General features: G+C 32.3%; 1 protein-coding gene across 3 annotated transcripts in view; it reads left to right on the forward strand.

Annotated features, from left to right (window-relative positions):
- The window catches only part of ADAM18 (ADAM metallopeptidase domain 18), a 145,498-nt gene that overhangs the window by 102,307 nt on the left and 24,099 nt on the right, over window positions 1-19,092 (forward strand). For all 3 annotated transcript variants that reach the window (NR_135201.2, NM_014237.3, NM_001320313.2), the window contains one exon: window positions 5,726-5,806. Coding sequence is in view for 2 of the 3 variants with exons in the window: in NM_014237.3 (NP_055052.1) it covers window positions 5,726-5,806 (81 nt within the window). In the remaining variant the exon portion in view is untranslated. The remainder of the gene's footprint in view (window positions 1-5,725; window positions 5,807-19,092) is intronic.

The raw sequence follows: 19,092 nt of genomic DNA on the forward strand, positions 1-19,092 counted from the left end.
TTCCATTACTTTGTTTGGTGCATATTCATATGAAGCCAAGAGATCTAAGGGGAATTTGTTGAAAGTTAGCTAAGAGTGCCTTCATCACAGGATGTTGACCACATTGATTTTTTAAAATAGATTCCTATTTTTTTTTACTTGAAATATCTTTTGTCCAACTAGACTTCCAGAATGGATTGCAGAAATACAGATATTAAGTGAAACATGTTCAGTTATAATATTAGTATGTATTTTAATATAAAGCTATTTTTCACATGCCCATGTGGCCTTTTGCACCTATATATAGGAAGTTCTTGTGCTACTTAGAATACGATAGAAAATAATCTCAAAAACATTGAAAATATGTCTATGCAATATTCACATAAATTTAGACGCATACTTAAATGGCCATGCATGGCACTTTATTCTGTTTCCTAAAATTATTTACAATGCATAATTTGTCTTCTTATTTTGATCATCAATGTATAACTTTAAATTAAGCTGATGATCCAGTGAGAAATGGTAGTTAACTTAAGAGTTCATCAATTGATTATTAATTTCTTGTCATCTCCCTTCCTCTTACATACACTGGTCTAAATTAGACAATTTTATTCTATTGTACTGTATTTTAGGTTCAGGAGGCATATGTGCAGATTTGTTACATGGGTAAATTACATGACACTGAGGCTTGGTGTACAAATGATTCCATCACCAAGGTAGTGAGCATAGTACCCAATAAGTAGCCTCCCAACCCAGGCCCCTTTCCCCATCCTCCCATTTCAAGCAGTCCCAGTATCTATTGTTCCATTTTTTTACTGCCATGTGTATTTAATGTTTAGCTCCCACTTATAAGTGAGAACATGCAGTATTTAGTTTTCTGTTCCTGCATTAGTTTGCTTAGGATAATATCCTCCAGTTGCATCCATGTTGCTGCAGAGGACATTATTTCATTCTTTTTGTGTGACTGCATAGTATTCCATGGTGTGTGCGCACCCTGTTTTCTTTATCCAGCCCACCATTAATGGGCGTCTTCATTGATTCATGTCTTTGCTATTGTGAATAGTGCTGTAATAAACATATGAATACATGTGTCTTTTTGGTAGAAGGACTTATTTTCCTTTGGATGTATATCAATAGTGGTATTGCTGGGTCAAATTGTAGCTCTGTTTTAAGTTCAAGGAGTAATTTCCAAAGTGCTTTCCACAATGGTTGAACTAATTTACATTTCCACCAGCAGTTAATAAATGTTGCCATTTCTCTGCAGCCTTACTGGCCTGCTATTTTTGGACTTTAACTGATGTGAGATGGTACCTCATTGTGGTTTTGATTTGCATGTCTCTAATGATTAGTGATGATGAACTTTTTTTTCTATTTCTTCTTTTTAACTTTTATTTTTAAGTTCAGGGGTACATGTGAAGGTTTGTTACATAGCTAAACTTGTGTCATGAGGGTTGTTGTAAAGATTATTTCATCACCCAGGTATTAAGCCTAGTACCCATTAGTTCTTTTTTCTGAACTTCTCCCTCCTCCCAGCCTCCACCCTACCAAAGACCCCACTGTGTGTTGTTCCCTTCTATGTGTCCATGTGTTCTCATTATTCAGCTCCCACTTGTAAGTGAGAACATGCAGTATTTAGTTTTCTATTCCTGCATTAGTTTGCTAAGAATAATGACCTCCAGCTCCATCCATGTCCCTGCAGAAGACATGACCTCATTTTTTTTATGTCTGCATAGTATTCCATAGTGTATATGTAGCACATTTTCTTTATCCAATCTGTCATTGATGGGCATTTAAGTTGATGCCATGTCTTTGTTATTGTGAAGAGTGCTGCAATGAACATACATGTGCCCTTATACTAGACTGATCTATATTCCTTTGGGTATATAACCAGTAATGGGATTGTTCTGTCTTTAAAACTTGGAGGAATCACCACGTTGTCTTCCACAATGATTGAACTAATTTACATTCCCACTAATAGTGTGTAAGCATTCCTTTTTCTCCACAACTTTGACAGCATCTGTTAATTTTTTCACTTTTTAGTAATAGCCTTTCTGACTGGTATGAGATGGTATCTCACTTTGGTTTTGATTTGCATTTTCTTAATGCTCGATGATGTTGAGCTTTTTTTCCATGTTTCTTGGCTGCATGTATGTCTTCTTTTGAAAAGTATCTGTTCATGTTCTTTGGCCACTTTTTAATGGCTTTTTTTTTCTTGTAACTTTGTTTAAGTTCTTTATAGATGCTGGGTATTATACTTTTGTCATATACATAGTTTGCAAATATTTTCTGCCATTCTGTAGGCTGGTCTGTTTAACTCTGTTTGGTTTCTTTTGCTGTGCAGAAGTTCTTTAGTTAAATTAGATCTCATTTGTTAATTTTTGCTTTTGTTGCAATTGCTTTTGGCATCTGCATCATGAAATCATTGCCTGCGCCTATGTCTTAAATGGTATTGCCAGGGTTTTTATAGTTTTGGGTTTTACATTTAAATCTTTAATCTGTCTTAAGTTAATTTCTGTGTGTGGTGTAAGGAAGCAGTCCAGTTTCAATATTCTCTATATGGCTAGCCATTTATCCCGGCATCATTTATTGAATAGAATATCCTTTGCCCATTGCTTGTTTTTGTCAGGTTTGTCAAAGATTAGATTGTAGTAAATGTGTGGTCTTGTTTCTGGGTTCTCTGTTCTGTTCCTTTGGTCTCTGTGTCTGTTTTTGAATCAGTACCATGCTGTTTTGGTTACTGTAGCCCTGTAGGATAGTTTGAAGTCAGGCAGCATGATGCTTCCAGCTTTGTTCGCTTTGCATAGGATTGCATTGGCTATTCAGGCTCATTTTTTGTTTTATGTGAAAGTTGAAATAATAGTTTTTTCTAGTTCTGTGAAGAATCTCAGTGGTGGTTTAATGAGAGTGACATTGAACCTAAAAATTGCCCTGGGCAATGTGGCCATTTCAGCTATATTGATTCTTCCTGTCCTTGAGCATGGAATGTGTTTCTATTTGTTTATGTCATCTGTGATTTCTTTGAGCAGCGTTTTGTAGCTCTCCTTGTAGAGATCTTTCACCTCCCTAGTTCGCTGTATTCCTAGGTATTCTGTGTGTGTGTGCGGCAGCTGTGAATGGGAGTACATTCCTGATTTGACTCTGTTGACTGTTGGCTCATTTGTCTGTTGGTGTATGGGAATGCTAGTGATTTTTGCACATTGATTTTGTATTCGGAGACTTTGCTGAAGTTGTTTATCAGCTTAGGAAGCTTTTGCGCTGAGAGGATGGTCCTTTGAGGTTGAGCTCCAGTTGGGCTGGAGTTGCCAAAGTGCTCTCAGACTGCTGGCAATACCACTCCATAGGAGATGGTGGAGTCATGGGTGTAGGTGTGCTGGTGGGTGTGGCAGGTGTGCCACTAGGGCAGAGGCACTCCAGCATGTGGCACCATGGGCAGGGGTGCTTAGGAGGGGATTACAGGAGCATGGCAAGTGGAAGGTGTGTGCACTCTAGTAGGGGTCACCCTGGGCAGTAGGGGTGCTCTGTTGGAGGTCCCATGGGCAGGGGGCACTTCAGCAGGTGTAGTGGGAATGTCATAGGTGGGAGGTGCTACAGTGGGTGGTGCTGCAGGTAGGAGGCCTAATTTGGACAATTTTATAATCTTCATATGGCATATACAATTTTTTTCTTTTTATACTGTGAAAAAATATACATAATGTAAATTTACATTTCTACCCATTTTCAAGTGGACAATTCATTAATTACATTTGTATTGTTGTGCAACTGTCACTACTACTTACATACAGCACATTTTTTGTCATCCCAAACTGAAACTCTGTACCCATTAAAAAATAAATCCTTGTTATTCTCTCCCCACCAACCAAATGTTGGTGAGGGTGAAGAGAAAAGGAAACACACACGATTGGTGGGGATGTAAATTAGTTCAGCCACTGTGAAAAGCAGTTTGGAGATTTCTCAAAGAACTTAAAACAATTACCATTTGACCCAACCATCCCACTTCTGGGTATACGCTCAAAGGAAAATTATTCACTCTATCAAAGAGACACAAGCATTTGTATGTTCATTGTGAAACTATTCACAATAGCAAAGACATGGATGGAATCAACCTTGAAGCCCATCAATAGTAGATTGGATTTTTAAAAATGTACACCATGGAATACTATGCAGTCCTAAAAAAGAATGAAATCATGTCCTTTGCAGAAACATGAATGAAGCTAAAGGTTATTACCCTAAGGAAATAATGCAAGAACCAGATGATATATATGCATCTCTTACACGCATATATTAAATCACTGCTTAATGTTTTTTCTTGTTTTATATGAAACAAGAAAAGTTTATAAGGTACAATGTACCTTAAAATATGTACCATTTGTGTATATCAATTAATGTAATTCACTGCACGTATACAACGTATAATGATCATATCTAACTAGCAAGCTCATCACCTGAAACTTTTAAAATACAAAAAGTAACCCATGTTAGCGAGAATGCAGAGAAAGGGTAACTCTTATACACTGTTTGTGACAATGCAAATTAGTACAGCTAATATGGAAAACAGTATGGTGTTTCTTCTAAAACTAAAAATAGAGCTACCATGTGATCCAGCCATCCCACTACTGGGTGTTTATTCAAAGAAAAGGAAATAAGTATATTGAAGAGATAGTTGTGGCAATAAACTCCCATGTTTATTGCCACACTATTCACAATAACCAAACTATGGAATCAACGTAATTGCTCATTAATGGATGAATGGATAAAGAAAATGTGGTACATACACACAACAGAATCATTATTTAGTGATAAACAAATAAAATCATGTTATTTGCAGAACATGGATGAACTTGGAGACCATTGTATTAACTGAATTAAGCCAAACACAGATAAATAAATATCATATATTCTTACTCATACATGGAAGCTAAAAATAGTCTTGGATATCTTTTTATTTTTTGCTGAAATGCTCTGGCTAGAGCATCTGATATTTGCTGAATATGAGGGACAAAAGTGAGTTGACATATGCAACTTATAATCTATAAATTGGTTTTATGCAGATTTGAGGAAGTAATTAAAAAGCTAATTTTTATTCATGTTTAGTATTGTTATGTTGTGAACGACTTAAACAGATTTTATGGTGACACTTTGAAATAAAAAAGAAGCTTGCAAAGTCAGAAAAAAATAGAAAAACATAAATGAGGCAAAACACCACATATCTGGGTGATTATTCACCACCATATTACACATTTTGCCATAATAAAAGTTTTACAAGAAATAAATATTGTTCTTGCCATATTATTCTGAGGAATCTTATAACAAAGATTCAAAATTTATGAATTATACTTAAAACCTAAACAAAATGATTTCTGTTCCAATTTTTGAGAAGACAAGTCATTAACATCTAATCAATTATTCATAACAAAACATTAACATAATATAGAAAACTCATACGATGAGTGTCTCAATCCAATGCAAGCTATAAGTATAAAAACTGAAACTATATATAACCTTTACATTAACCATGTCAGGGCAAATGCTGTCAGTTTTTTTGCTTGCAATTACTTTGTTGTTTAGATTTTTGTATTTTTGTATCAATAAATTAAGATAATGTTAATCATATTAATATTAGTCATATTAATATTACTAAAAGTCTTTCAACTTAAGCATCTCTTATACATATATAGAAATCATTAATGTTTTTTCTTGTTTTATATGACATTTGTGAATTGTAAAATTTTTGTTTGTTTTGTTTTAGTACTGTGTAAATAAAACCTGCAGAAAAGTTCATTTAATGGGATATAACTGTAATGCCACCACAAAATGCAAAGGGAAAGGGGTAAGTCACTTTTGTATCTGAATTGCATGTTATTCTTGTGGGTAATTCAAATAAACATCTGTTTATGAGGATTGAGAGTCTAGGTTGACTTGCCTAGCTCTGGTAGACTAATATAAAGAAAATTAACTGACCTAATTTCAAACTATATAACATATTAAGTGAATTGTACCAGATACGTATTGAACTGTAAGCAGTCACAACTTAGTAATATGTTTAAATAAAAACATTTATTCTTCTTCAACACAAATAAATGCATTTTTACTTATATCATGAACATATTTCTTCTCCCACACACATTTAATAATTAAGGCATATGAGTATACAATATTTTACAGAGTATACTTAAAAACACGTTGACATATCAGGGAATATTTTTTTCTCATTGAGAGACTTCCAATAGGAAATGCAACTTCACGCAAAAAGCTTTTTTTATTTCTTCTGAATTGTCTATTTTAATCTGGTAATTTAAATTTGTTACTTTTATATTGCAGTTCCATTTATTAAAATTTATAATTTGAGTTTTAAAAAATTATTTTCCTAAAAGAAAATCAGTGTGTGATATAGCCAACATTGTAAGAGTAACCTCAAATTCACCAGAATGCATTAATATTTAATTCTATAATTTCTAAAATAGTTGGATTCAGAGGATATAAAATGCTACTACATTGTCAGTAATTTGCCATCAGTTATTAACAAAGAAAATAGCCACATTTTAATGTTTTTTTTTCTGTAATTATAATTTTTGGCTTGAATTTTTTACTTCCTCTGTTACATTTTAGTTCTTCAGCCTTATTATTTTTTACAATATCTCAACACAAAGTTATGCAATATCTCAACACAAAGTTATACGTTTTTTGTATAACTTTATACATATCTGATATGTGTAACTTATATACATTTTTATACATTATCAATTTTTGCTACCATGTTTCATTGGGTTCACAATTGTTTTCTTAATATATTATTATTTACGTTCAGTTGTTGTTTTACTTCTACTTTTTAGATTTTTTTGATAAAACCTTTTACTATGAAATATTACATTCATAAAGGAAATACATAAGGTAAAACTTCCATATTTATTTAATTTATATTTCTACATATGTTATATTTTGTAGTTAAAATGTTTAAAAAGAAAAACGACTTAAAAATAATTATAAGTAATAGAAATCTTACTGAGTCTAAGCAAATTTGCATAGACTTTCTAATGACAGGTCTCAATAGACAGCTTTATCATTTATCATTCCAGTTCAATTTTATTAGCATGTAGGTGTTCTGAAATACCATTATTCATGAAATGTTGCCAGTTATAATAGAGTTGTTCTCTTTTTATTAATGATATACTTTTCATTAGTTGCCATGAACATTTATAATTTATTACTCTGAAAATTAGTAATCTAAGCATCAGTATAAAGAAGTTAAGAACATAACAGAATATTAAATTCAGACTTTTATGCATGATTCAATATAAGTGGTAGATATTCTTGCCTTGTCCTTATTGTGAAAGAAAAAATTTCAAGGCTTCACATTTTAGAGTAATATTTGCAGAATATTTTTTATTATAATTTTCAATTAAAATTATTCTTTTATTTCTAGTTTGTTTTCTATTATGAATAAGTGTTAAATTTTACCAAAGACTTTTTCTGCATCTATTGACTTTACTCTATGATTTTCCCCTTTAATCTGTTAATGTACAAATATATTTATTGATTTTTAAAATAGTAAGCCAACTTTAATTCCCAGAATAAAACCAACCATGACCTGTTTTTAGTTCAATTTTTGAGTATTTTATTTGATATAAATGTTTCTATCTTATGGATTTGATAGTTTTATATCTTGTACTTTACGTTTCTGATTTTGTATCAAGGTTATGCTATTTTGGTGGTGCTTCTTCATTGTGTATTTTCTATAGTAGCTTTAAAAAAATTAGCAGACATTTTTCAGAGCAACGTTTGGTTTACATAAAAACAAGCACCAAGTACAGTGGACTACAATATATCTGCTCCCTCTCCCTCTCTGCTTCCCCTATTATTTTACATCTTGCCTTAGAGGGATGCCCTATAATTCCTGTGCTACTAATTATACATTATTATTAACTACTGTCTACAGTTTACATTGAGTTTAATTCTTTGTACATTCTATGGGTCCTAAAAATATATAGGTCTTTCAAAATATGCGTCTTAAAAAATATATGTGTCTTAAAAATATGTTTCCATTATTACAGTATCATACAGAATAGTTTCACTGTGCTAAGAATGCCCTGTGATCCACATATTTAGCCCTTCATCCTTTTCCATAAACTCCTAGAAACCCATGAACTTTTTACTGTTTCTTAGTAATATTTATTTATGATCCCTCCATGTCTTTTCATGGCTTTATGGCTTATTTGCTTTTATCATTGAATAATATTCCACTGTACAGATGTACCACAGTGTGTTTGATCATTCATCTATTAAAGGACAATGTGGGTTTTTCTTTTTCCATTTTGGGCAATTGTGAATAATGTTGCTATAAACACTCATTTACAGGTTTTGGTGTGGACATAAGTTTTTATTTCAGTTGGGTAAATACCAAGGAGCACAATTACTGAGTCATATAATAGCAGCATGTTTGTTTAGTTTTGTAGGAAATTACTAAATTGTCTTTCAAAGTAGATGTATCATTTTGCGTTCTCACCAACAGTGAATGAGAGTTCTTGTGGCTTGACATACTCACCAGCATTTGGTGTTTTCAGCGATTGGGATTTTAAGCATTCTAATTATTTAGTGGTAACTCAATGTTGTTTTAATTTGCAGCTCTCTAATGACATATGATGTTGAGCATCTTTTATTACACTTTTTTGAAATATGTATATCTTCTATGATGAAGCATCTTAATCTTTTGCCTGTTTTTTTAAAAATATATCCTCCATTATCCCCTTCCCCTAGCCCCTGGTATCCACTATTCTACTTGAGGTTTATATGAATTGACTACTCTAGATACCTCATATAATTGGTATTATACAATATTTGTCCTTTTGTGACTAGCTTATTTCACTTAGCATGATATTTTCAAGCTCCATCCATGTTGTATCATGTAGCAAAATTTCATTCTTTTTAAGCTGAAAACTATATCATTGTATGTATATACCACATTTTGTTCATCCATTGATTTGCCTCTACCTTCTGGCTGTTGTAAATAATATTGCTATGAACATTGGTATACAAGTATCTGTTCAGGTCTCTGTTTTCATTTCAATTATTCTGGGTATATGGCCAGAAGAATTGCTGGAGCATATGGTAATTCTATTTTCAATTTTTTTCAGAATCACCATATTATTTGCCACAGTCTCATCAACAATGCAAGCACAGGGGTTCCAATTTCTCTACATCCTGCCCAATATTTATTTTTATTTTTTAATAATAACCATCTTAATAGTTGCAAAATGGAATTATCACTGTAGTTTTGATTTCCATTTCCCTAGTGATTAGCAAAGTTGAGCTTTATTTCCCTTATTGGCAATCCATATACCTTTAGATGATTTTCTATTCAAGTCCTTTGAGAATTTTTAAATTGTGCTTCCTTTTTATTATTGAGTTTTAGAATTATTTATATATTTTGGATATTAATTCCTTATCATATATGTGATTTGCTATTTTTCCATTCTAAATGTTGTCTTTTCACTGTCTTGATAATATGTTTTGTGTACAAAAGTTTTTAATTTTGATGATGTTTATTTATTTTTTCTTTTGTTGCCTGGTCTTCTGTTTAATATTAAAGAAATCATCAAATCTAATGTCATGAAGCTTTTCCCTTATGTTTATCTCTAAGAGCTTTAACTTTTTAACTCTTCCTTCAGTTAGATCTTTTATCCATTTTGAGTTAATGTTGGTATATGTTTGAGATAAGAGTCTAACTATATTTTTACATATGGATATACACTTTTCCCAGCATTTGTTGAAACAATTGTCATTTACCCATTGAATGGTCATGGAAGCCTTGACAGAAATAATTTGACTGTAAATGTTAGGGTTAATTTCTGGGCTCTCTATTCTCCATTTGTCTATATGTCTGTCTTCATGCCAAACCACATTGTTTTCATTATTGTGGCTTTGCAGGAAGTTTTGTCCTCAGGAAGTATAAGTTATTCAACTTTATTCTTTCTTTGAAAAAACTTTTAAGGCTACCTGAAGTGCCTTGGGATTCCATATGAACTTTGTGATGCATTTTTCAATTTGTGCAAAAAAGCATCATTGGAATTTTGATCAAGATTGTTATGAATCTGTAGATTGGCTTGGGTAGTATTGTCATCTTGACAATATTAAGTCTTTCAAATCATGAACATGAGATGTTTTTAAATTTATATCTTCTTTAACTTCAGCAATGGTTTGTAATTTTGAGTGTATATGTCTTGTCTCTCCTTGGTTTTAAGTTTGTTCTTAAGTAGTATTCTATTCTTTCTAATAATATTGTAAATGGTATTGTTTTCTCAATTTCCTTTTTGGGTTACGCATTGCTAGCCAGTGTATTAAAATGCAGCTATTTATTGTATGTGTGTTGATTTTGTATCCTGCAACTTTGTTAATTTATTAGTCTAAGATGTTTTTGTGGGATTTTTAGGGTTTTCTACATATAAGACTACATTATCTGCAAATATATTTTATGTTATTCTTTCTTTCCAATTTGGTTGCCTTTTTATTTCTTTTTCTTGCCTAATTGCTTTGGCTAAAATTTTGCTGTATAACATAAATTTTTGTATGTTGTGTTTTTATTTACATTTCTCAAAATATTTTCCAATTTTCCTTGTGATTTCTTTCTTGAATGACTGGTTGATTTAAAAGGTAGTGAATTTTTTCACATCATTTATTTTGTCTTCTATATATTTTAAACATCAGAAACACAATAATTATTGTTTTCTACAGTCAACATTTATTTATTCTTGCTTAATCATATATTTACTCTTTCTATTTCTTGCATTCCTTTCTATATTTCTGTGTTTATTTCTGTTAAAAATTTTCCTCAGCCTGAAGAAAGTATGGTGGCTAAAATTAACATTTTTTCTGATAAGTGTTTTTTTGAATGTTTTATCTTTAGGTCAGAATTTTCTTTCAGTAGTTTAAAAAATATAATCTGTTTTATATTGACTTACATGATCTCTTCTGAGAAGTCAGATGCATTTTACTTTTGCTTCTTGAGGAACACCTGCTTTTAATGTTTTCTTTTTGACATTGGTGTTCAAGTGTTTGCATATGATTTGCTCAAGTGTAGTTTTCATCATACTCGTAACTTACAGAGCTACTGGATTCTACTAAGGATTATCTTTCTTAAGTTTTGGACATTTTTAAATCATTACTTAATTTTGCTTTTTCTATATTCTCTATTTAATCCTTTTGGGATTAAATTTACACCAAATTTATGGTTTTGTACTGTGTTCCAAATACATGTTAGATTTTATTCTGAATCTCTCAAGCTTTCATTCTTTGTTCTTCAATCTGGGTGTTTTAAAGCTATTTTCTAGTTCTATTATTATTCCGCCATTTCTAATTTGCTTTTACAGCCTTGTATTGTGTTCCTGACTTACTCATATTATTTTTCCATTTTTAAATTTCTTTACTTTTAATAGATTTCAATTGTGTGGGGAAATTTCATCTTCTCTATTTTTAGAATTTATTAATCAATTTTTCTCATATCTAAGCCATAATTATTTGGCATATTCTTTTTATATCCTTGTAAAGTCTATATAATTTGTAGTGATAACTCCACTTTTTTCCTGGTATTGTTAATTTATGTATTATCTTTTATTGTATTGACACCCAGCTAGTGTCCACTGGAGACCCTTTTGGTGAATTGCTTGGTGTGTGAGAAAATACCCCAACACATCAGGAGTCACAGAAGTGTTCTTTGTTGATTACATTAATTTTCTGCTACCTCTCACAGTAGTTTCAATTGCCTGATTTTCTTCTTGATACCTTTCTATTTCCTTACAAACCTCCTTAAATAATTTGCAATGGAATGTTTAACAATGATGGTAAGTTTTACAAGAGAGGCTTTATAGTTTTCTCTTGGCAGAAATAGTGTGGGTCTGATTAGTTTAAATCCATTTATGGATTGAGCTATGTAAATACAAGTTCATAGCTTTATAAATCTAAGACACAGTTTTATAAATCTCTTACACCATATTTCAATGGTGTAAGTATCTAAATCTTTCACCTAAAAAACTGCAGCATCTTTATCTCCTCAGCATCAAGAAACTCTAAGAATTACAGCAGTGCTTTAGAGAAATTTTTGAATTAGATTTTAGCTTAAGAATATGGAAAATGTGTTTAGGGAGATAATGGCTGTATGATCTAGCCCTTCACAACTCCACTTTCCAACCCCTGCATTTCAAGAAAATGATAATAATTCTGTTGTTTATTTTTGTCTCCTAAAAATTGCCCTGATTACTGTCAAGCTGGAGTTATACTTCTAAATGTGCCAAATTGGTAAGGGCCTCTTTGAAAAGAGGACAATCATTAGTTTGAAATTATCATTCCTTAAAGAACTAACAAGTCTCACTTGTTTTTTATGGTTTTTCAGGTTAGTAATTGCATGTTGAATTATTCTAAAGTTTAATAATGTACATCATATTCATTCTACGTTCATGGAAGCTTCCAATATTTGCTTAACTTGCTAAAAAATTTAGGAAGAAAGACTTTAATTTTATTGAATTATTTTTTATTATTTAATTATATCATGTGTTTTTTTCCATTAATATCTTACTTGAATGAATCGTATTAGTGAATTTCCTAAAGCTGAATGATATTTTAATTTTTAGGATAAACCCTCCTTAGTTTTGGTTTATTATTTTTTAATACACAAGTGAGATGTGTGGTGTTAATATTATATATGAATTTGTCTTCTTAAATATTCTGTGTGTAGAATTTTGGGGGCTAATATGAGATGTTTTATGATCTTGATATAAAAATAATGCAATACTTATAAATCACAGTTTTTCATCTAATAACTGGACCACATTTATACTGCTGATTGAATACAAGTGTGCCACAAGGTATTGAGTCTGATGGCCTGCAGGTGATGAGGTTGTAGAGTAAATATTGTTTCAATGAGAAGGATCTTCAAGGAGTGACAGAGCAGAGCAGAATGTGATAATGGGACCCTATTGCCCCAGGAGGCAGCAATGATGATTAGAAAAATCTTGAAATTTCTGATATTTCCCAATGAGCTGAGGATATCCAAAGAAGTACACAACCACCTGTGCAATTTTTTCAGAAATTGGTTGTAGAATGTATGTGAACAAGAGGGACACAAAGATTACAGAGAAATGTATTTTCTGGACACTCAGAGTGCATAGGGTGTAAAACAATGTGAAATGGGGGACTGAATTGGCCAGAATATTCTATCTGTGTGTGATTTATGCCACTTTGATAACACTTAAATTAACTACAATGTGATTTTTCTTAAAGTGCTTGCGTATTCTAGAAATTAAAGTTATGGCATTACTTGGAAAATGGCATTAAAAATTGATTTTTAAGAAAATCACATAATGACTAGAAATTTTAACATCAAATTTATCAACAAATAAAAAAGAATGTTGTTGAAGCTTAAAATGATTTTGTCATGAATTGTAAATGGATGTACAGTAATTTCATTTTATAATTGCTTACTTATGTAAGCAGTTTTCTCATTCAGAATTTTATAGAGCTTATCTGCCTTCTTGGTATTTCTTGGTCAGATGTATGTGACAAAGTAAACACAAAAATTGATATGAGAATATTCACAAAGCAATTCTCTCACTGAAATTTGAAAAAATGTACATAGAACTTTTAGGTAAATGTAATAGTAAATATGTGTCCTAATATTTTGCAATTAATCTTTCTTAAACAATTATGAAATCTAATGAAAATTTAATAAAAATAAGTTATCCCAACCTCTTTTTATTTAACTAATTGGGACATTATTAACATTAATTTCTGAGTATAACATGACATGAAAAATTCAGATTATAGAGTGATTTGGGGCACTTTTTATATTTTGTTTCTATGATATTAACAAGGTTAAGTGATGTAAATATATTTGCTTCCAAAATTTTTGCTCAAAACTAATAATGAATTTGGACCTGCTGTTCATATAAGACTTAGAATAATTGATTATATTTTTAACTTTTTTCCCCACCAACTATTGACCCATATAAGTTAAAATTTATTGTAATGCACTTTGGGAGGCCGAGGCGGGCGGATCACGAGGTCAGGAGATCGAGACCATCCTGGCTAAAAAAAACGGTGAAACCCCGTCTCTACTAAAAATACAAAAAATTAGCCGGGCGTAGTGGCGGGCGCCTGTAGTCCCAGCTACTTGGGAGGCTGAGGCAGGAGAATGGCGTGAACCCGGGAGGCGGAGCTTGCAGTGAGCCGAGATCCCGCCACTGCACTCCAGCCTGGGCGACAGAGCAAGACTCTGTCTCAAAAAAAAAAAAAAAAAAAAAAAAAAAAAAAATTTATTGTAATGTAAGTGTGGTTTATTTGTATTTTATACAAAAATTGGCAATTTTATCCATCTTTTAATTTTTTTCTAAAAATATATATATTTCTGATATATCTTATTTTTCTCATTCTTATTTTTGATATGTTCATTGTGGTGTATTTTTGCTTGTATTTGCTGATATATGTATTGTTCTATTTCCTAATTTTCACTTTTTAATACGTTGTGATAATCTCTGCGTTTTATTAAGATGCTTGTTGTTCCTGACATTATATGCTCTTTATTTCTTATATTTCACATTTAAACATTTTTCTTTTTTATTTTTTAATTAATTATGAATTAATTTTTGGCTTTCATTTTAAGTTCAAGGGTACGTGTGAAAGGATGTGCAGTTTTGTTACATAGGTGAACATGTGTCATGGGAATTTGTGATACTGCTTATTTCATCACCCAGGTATTAAGCCTAGTATCCATTAGTTATTTCTCCTGACCCACTCCTCCTCCCAATCTCTGCACTCAGGTGGGCCCCACTGTGTGTTGTTCCCCTCTATGTGTCCATGTGTTGTCATCATTTCGTTCCCACTTATAAGTGAGAACGTGTGGTATTTGATTTTCTGTTCCTGTGTTTGTTTGCCAAGGATAATGGCCTCCAGCTCCATCCATGTCCCAGCAAAGGACATGATCTCATACTTTTTATGGGTGCATAGTATTCCATGGTGTATATGTACCACATTTTGTTTATTAAGTCTATCCTTGATGGGCATTTAGGTTGATTCCATGTATTTGCTATTGTGACTAGTGCTGCAATGCACATATGCCTGCATGTGTCTTTATAATAGAATGAGTTACATTCCTTTGGGTATATACCCAGAAATAGGATTGCTGGGTTGAATGGGATTTCTGTCTTTGGGTCTTTGAGGAATCACCACACTGTCTTCCACAGTGGCTGAACTAATTAACACTCCCACCAACAGTGTATAAGTATTCCTTTTACTCTACAACCTTGCCAGCATCTGTTATTTTTTGACTTCTTAATAACAGCCATTCTGACTGGCATGAAATGGTATCTCATTGTGGTCTTGATTTTTATTTCTCTAATGATTAGTGATGTTAGGCTTTTCTTTTTTTCATATAACTGTTGGCTGCATGTATGTCTTTTTTGAAAAGTTTCTGTTCATGTCATTTGCCCACTTTTTAATGGGGTTTTTTTTCTTCTTCTTGTAAATTTAAGTTCCTATCAATGCTGGATATTAGACCTTTTTCAGATACATAGTTTGCAAATATTTTCTCCCATTCTGTAGGTTGTCTGTTTACTCTGTTGATAGCTTCTTTTGCTGTATGGAAGCTCTTTGATAATATCCCATTTGTCAATTTTTGCTTTTGTTTCAATTGCTTTTGGCATCTGCATCATGAAATCTTTTCCGGTGCCTATGTCTTGAATGATATTGCCTAGGTCTTATTCCAAGGTTTTTGTAGTTTTGGATTTTAATTTTAAGTCTTTAGTCCATCTTAAGTTGATTTTTGTATATGGTGTAAGGAAGGGGTTCAGTTTCAGTTTTCTGCACATGGCTAGCCAGTTATCTCAGCACCATTTGTTGAATAGAGTATCCACTCCCCATTGTTTGTTTCTGTCAAGTCTGTTGAAGATTAGATAGTTGTCGGTGTGTGATCTTATGTCTGGGTTCTCTGCTGTTCCATAGGTCTATGTGTTCTGTCCTTGTACCAGTACTATGCAGTTTTGATTACTGTAGTCCTGTGATATAGTTTGAAGTCAGGTAGTTTGATGCCTCCAGCTTTGTTCTTTTTGCATAGGATTGCCCTGGCCATTTGGACTCTTTTTTGCTTCCCAGTGAATTTTAAAATAGTTTTCTCTAGTTCTGTGAAGCAAGTCAATGTTAATTTAACGGGAATAGCGTTGAATCTATAAATAGCTTTGGGCAGTGAGGCTGTTTTCACAATATTGATTCTTCCTATCCGTGAGCATGGAATGTTTTTCTATTTATTTGTGTCATCTGCGATTTCTTTGAGCAATGTTTTGTAGTTCTTGTAGAGACCTTTCACCTGCCTAGTTAGCTGTATTCCTAGGTATTTTATTCTTTTTGTGGCAATTGTGAATGGGACTTCATTAGCGATTTGGCTCTCCGGTTGACTGTTGTTGGTGTATCAGAATGCTAGCAATTTTTGTACATTGATTTTGTATCCTGAGATTTTGCTAAAGTTGCTTATCAGCTTAAGAAGCTTTGAGGCTGAGACAATGAGGTTATTTTTAGATATAGGATCATGTCATCCACAAAGCGGAATAATTTACCTTCCTTTCTTTCTATTTTAATGCCTTTATTTCTTTGTCTTGCCTGATTGCCCTGCCCAGAACTGTAAATATTATGTTAAATAGGATTGGTGAGAGAGGGCACCTTAGCTCATGTCAGTTTTCAAGGGGAAATGCTTCCAGCTTTTGCCCGTTGATTATGATGTTAGCGGTGGTTTTGTCATACATGGCTCTTATTGTTTTGAGGTATGTTCCTTCAATAGCTAGTTTATTGAGAGTTTTTAACTTGAAGGGATGTTGAATTTTATCAGAAGTCTTTTCTGAAGGAAATTGAGACACACACAAAAACATTCAAAAGATTAACCAATTCAGGAGTTTATTTTTTGAAAAAATTATAAGATAAATAGACCACTAGCTATACTAACCAAGAAGAAAAAAGAGAAGATTCAAGTACACACAATCAGAAATGATAAAGGGGATATTACTACTGACTGCACAGAAATACAAACAACCATCAGAGAATATTATAAACACCTCTATGCACATGAACTAGAAAATTAGAAGAAATGGATAAATTCCTGGACACATACACTCTCCCAAGAATGAACAAAGAAGAAATTGAATCATTGAAAAGACCAATAACAAGCTCTGAAATTGGGGCAGTAATAAATAGCCTACCAACCAAAAAAAGCCCAGGACGATAGATTCACAGGTGATTTCTACCTGAGGTACAAAGATGAGCTAGTACAATTACTACTGAAACTATTCCATAAAATTGGAAAGGAACCCCTCCCTAACTCATTCTATGAGGACAGCATCATCCTGATACCAAAATCTGGCAGACACACAACAAAAAATTAAAATTTTAGGCCTATATCTTGCATGAACATCGATGCAAAAATCCTCAACAAAATACTGGTCAACCGAATTCAGAAGCACATCAAAAAAGATTATCCACCACAATCAGATAGTCTTCATCTCCAGGATGCAAGGTTGGTTCAACATATGGAAATCAATAGATGTGATTCATCACAAACAGAACTAAAGACAAAAAAGTCACAATTATCTCAAAAGATGCAGAAAAGGCTTTTGATAAAATTCAACATATTTTTAAATTTTTTATAAATCATTTTTAATGTTTTATCTTGCCATGACTTGCCCTAATACAAAGTAAATTCTATAATGTGACTTTGTTTTGGCTGGGGGGACCCAGTTACCTGGGAATTTAAACATTTGTTTATTTTTCCTTATTTGTCTATTTCTATGCCCAGCTTAAATAAAACCTATTTCTCCTTGCACATGCAGTTAAGGAGTGACCATTTTTGCGTTTGTACCTACCCTTTACCTTAAACCTCTAACATTTGTGGTTTTTGGGAAATTTTGGACTTGAAGTTCCTGATATTATAAGGGATTATATGCATTATGTTAATTCTGTGTTTTAATTATGTTACAGTTAAAAGTATAATATATTTAGATTTGCTATCCTAGATCAAATGTTCTGTCATGTCCTTGTACTTTCATTGGAGGGGTGGGGAACTGGAATAACACTTTGTCAAAATATAGAGGAAAATATATATGTGAGAAAAATGCATTCAGAGATATTGATATCAAAATGCAAAAATGATGGTCTTCCATATAAATGACACTTTTGTTGTTTAAGAATTATCATATTTTGGTTTACCTTCAAACTTTGAAACTCTGTTCTACTATACAGTTGCTTTTAGTCTTATCAGGGAAGAGTCTGATGCTATATTTAGTCTCTTTACACTGTACAGAATATTGTAAGGTTATCTTTTGTGTGTGTGTGTTCTTAGAATTATTGCCAGGTTTGTGCTTGTTTTTCTTTTTTCTCTTTGAAAGCCAATTGTTACGTAATCTCCAAAATATCACATTTTTCTTCATCTTTTGTTAAAGTTGCTTTGCTCTGGCTGTTTCTTTTAAAGTTAGCAAAATAAAATAATGAGATCCTTTGTTGTCTTCAGGTATTTAAATAAATGTAAATTAATTCAGAAGAGGATTACAGTTGTGGAATAAGTTAAAAAGATGCATAAGGCCAGATCACTCCTGTAATCCTAGCAATTTGAGAAGCTGATGCAGGAGGATTACTTGAGCCCAGGAGTTCAAGACCAGCCTGGGCAACAAAGCAAGACCCCATCTAAAAAAATGCATAAGTGATATTCTGATTCTAATATTAAAATACTGTGCACTAAATATTCAACAACAAAAACATGGATATATAAAATAGAATACTACTTCATGGAATTCAGGGCTATAATTCAAACTCACTTTATTGAAATCTCTTTTGATATGTAGAAAAGAGGTAATCAATTTCAATATACTATATAAACAATTTAGCAAAATGAGTATAAACGGAAAGGACACAATATCTATAGGAAAATTACAGGGAATACTTACACTACTGAATATTATGAGTCTAATTTTAAAAATGTGCCTGTGATGTCTTTATACATACAGGTATGAGAAGAAGTTCATAGTATATTGTTATGGATATTATTTGGTAAAAATCTATTAATGTATATGTGTGTTTGTGGATGTGAGTACGTGT

Source organism: Homo sapiens, chromosome 8 (genome assembly GCF_000001405.40).
Source record: "Homo sapiens chromosome 8, GRCh38.p14 Primary Assembly".
Taxonomy (NCBI): Eukaryota; Metazoa; Chordata; class Mammalia; order Primates; family Hominidae; genus Homo; species Homo sapiens.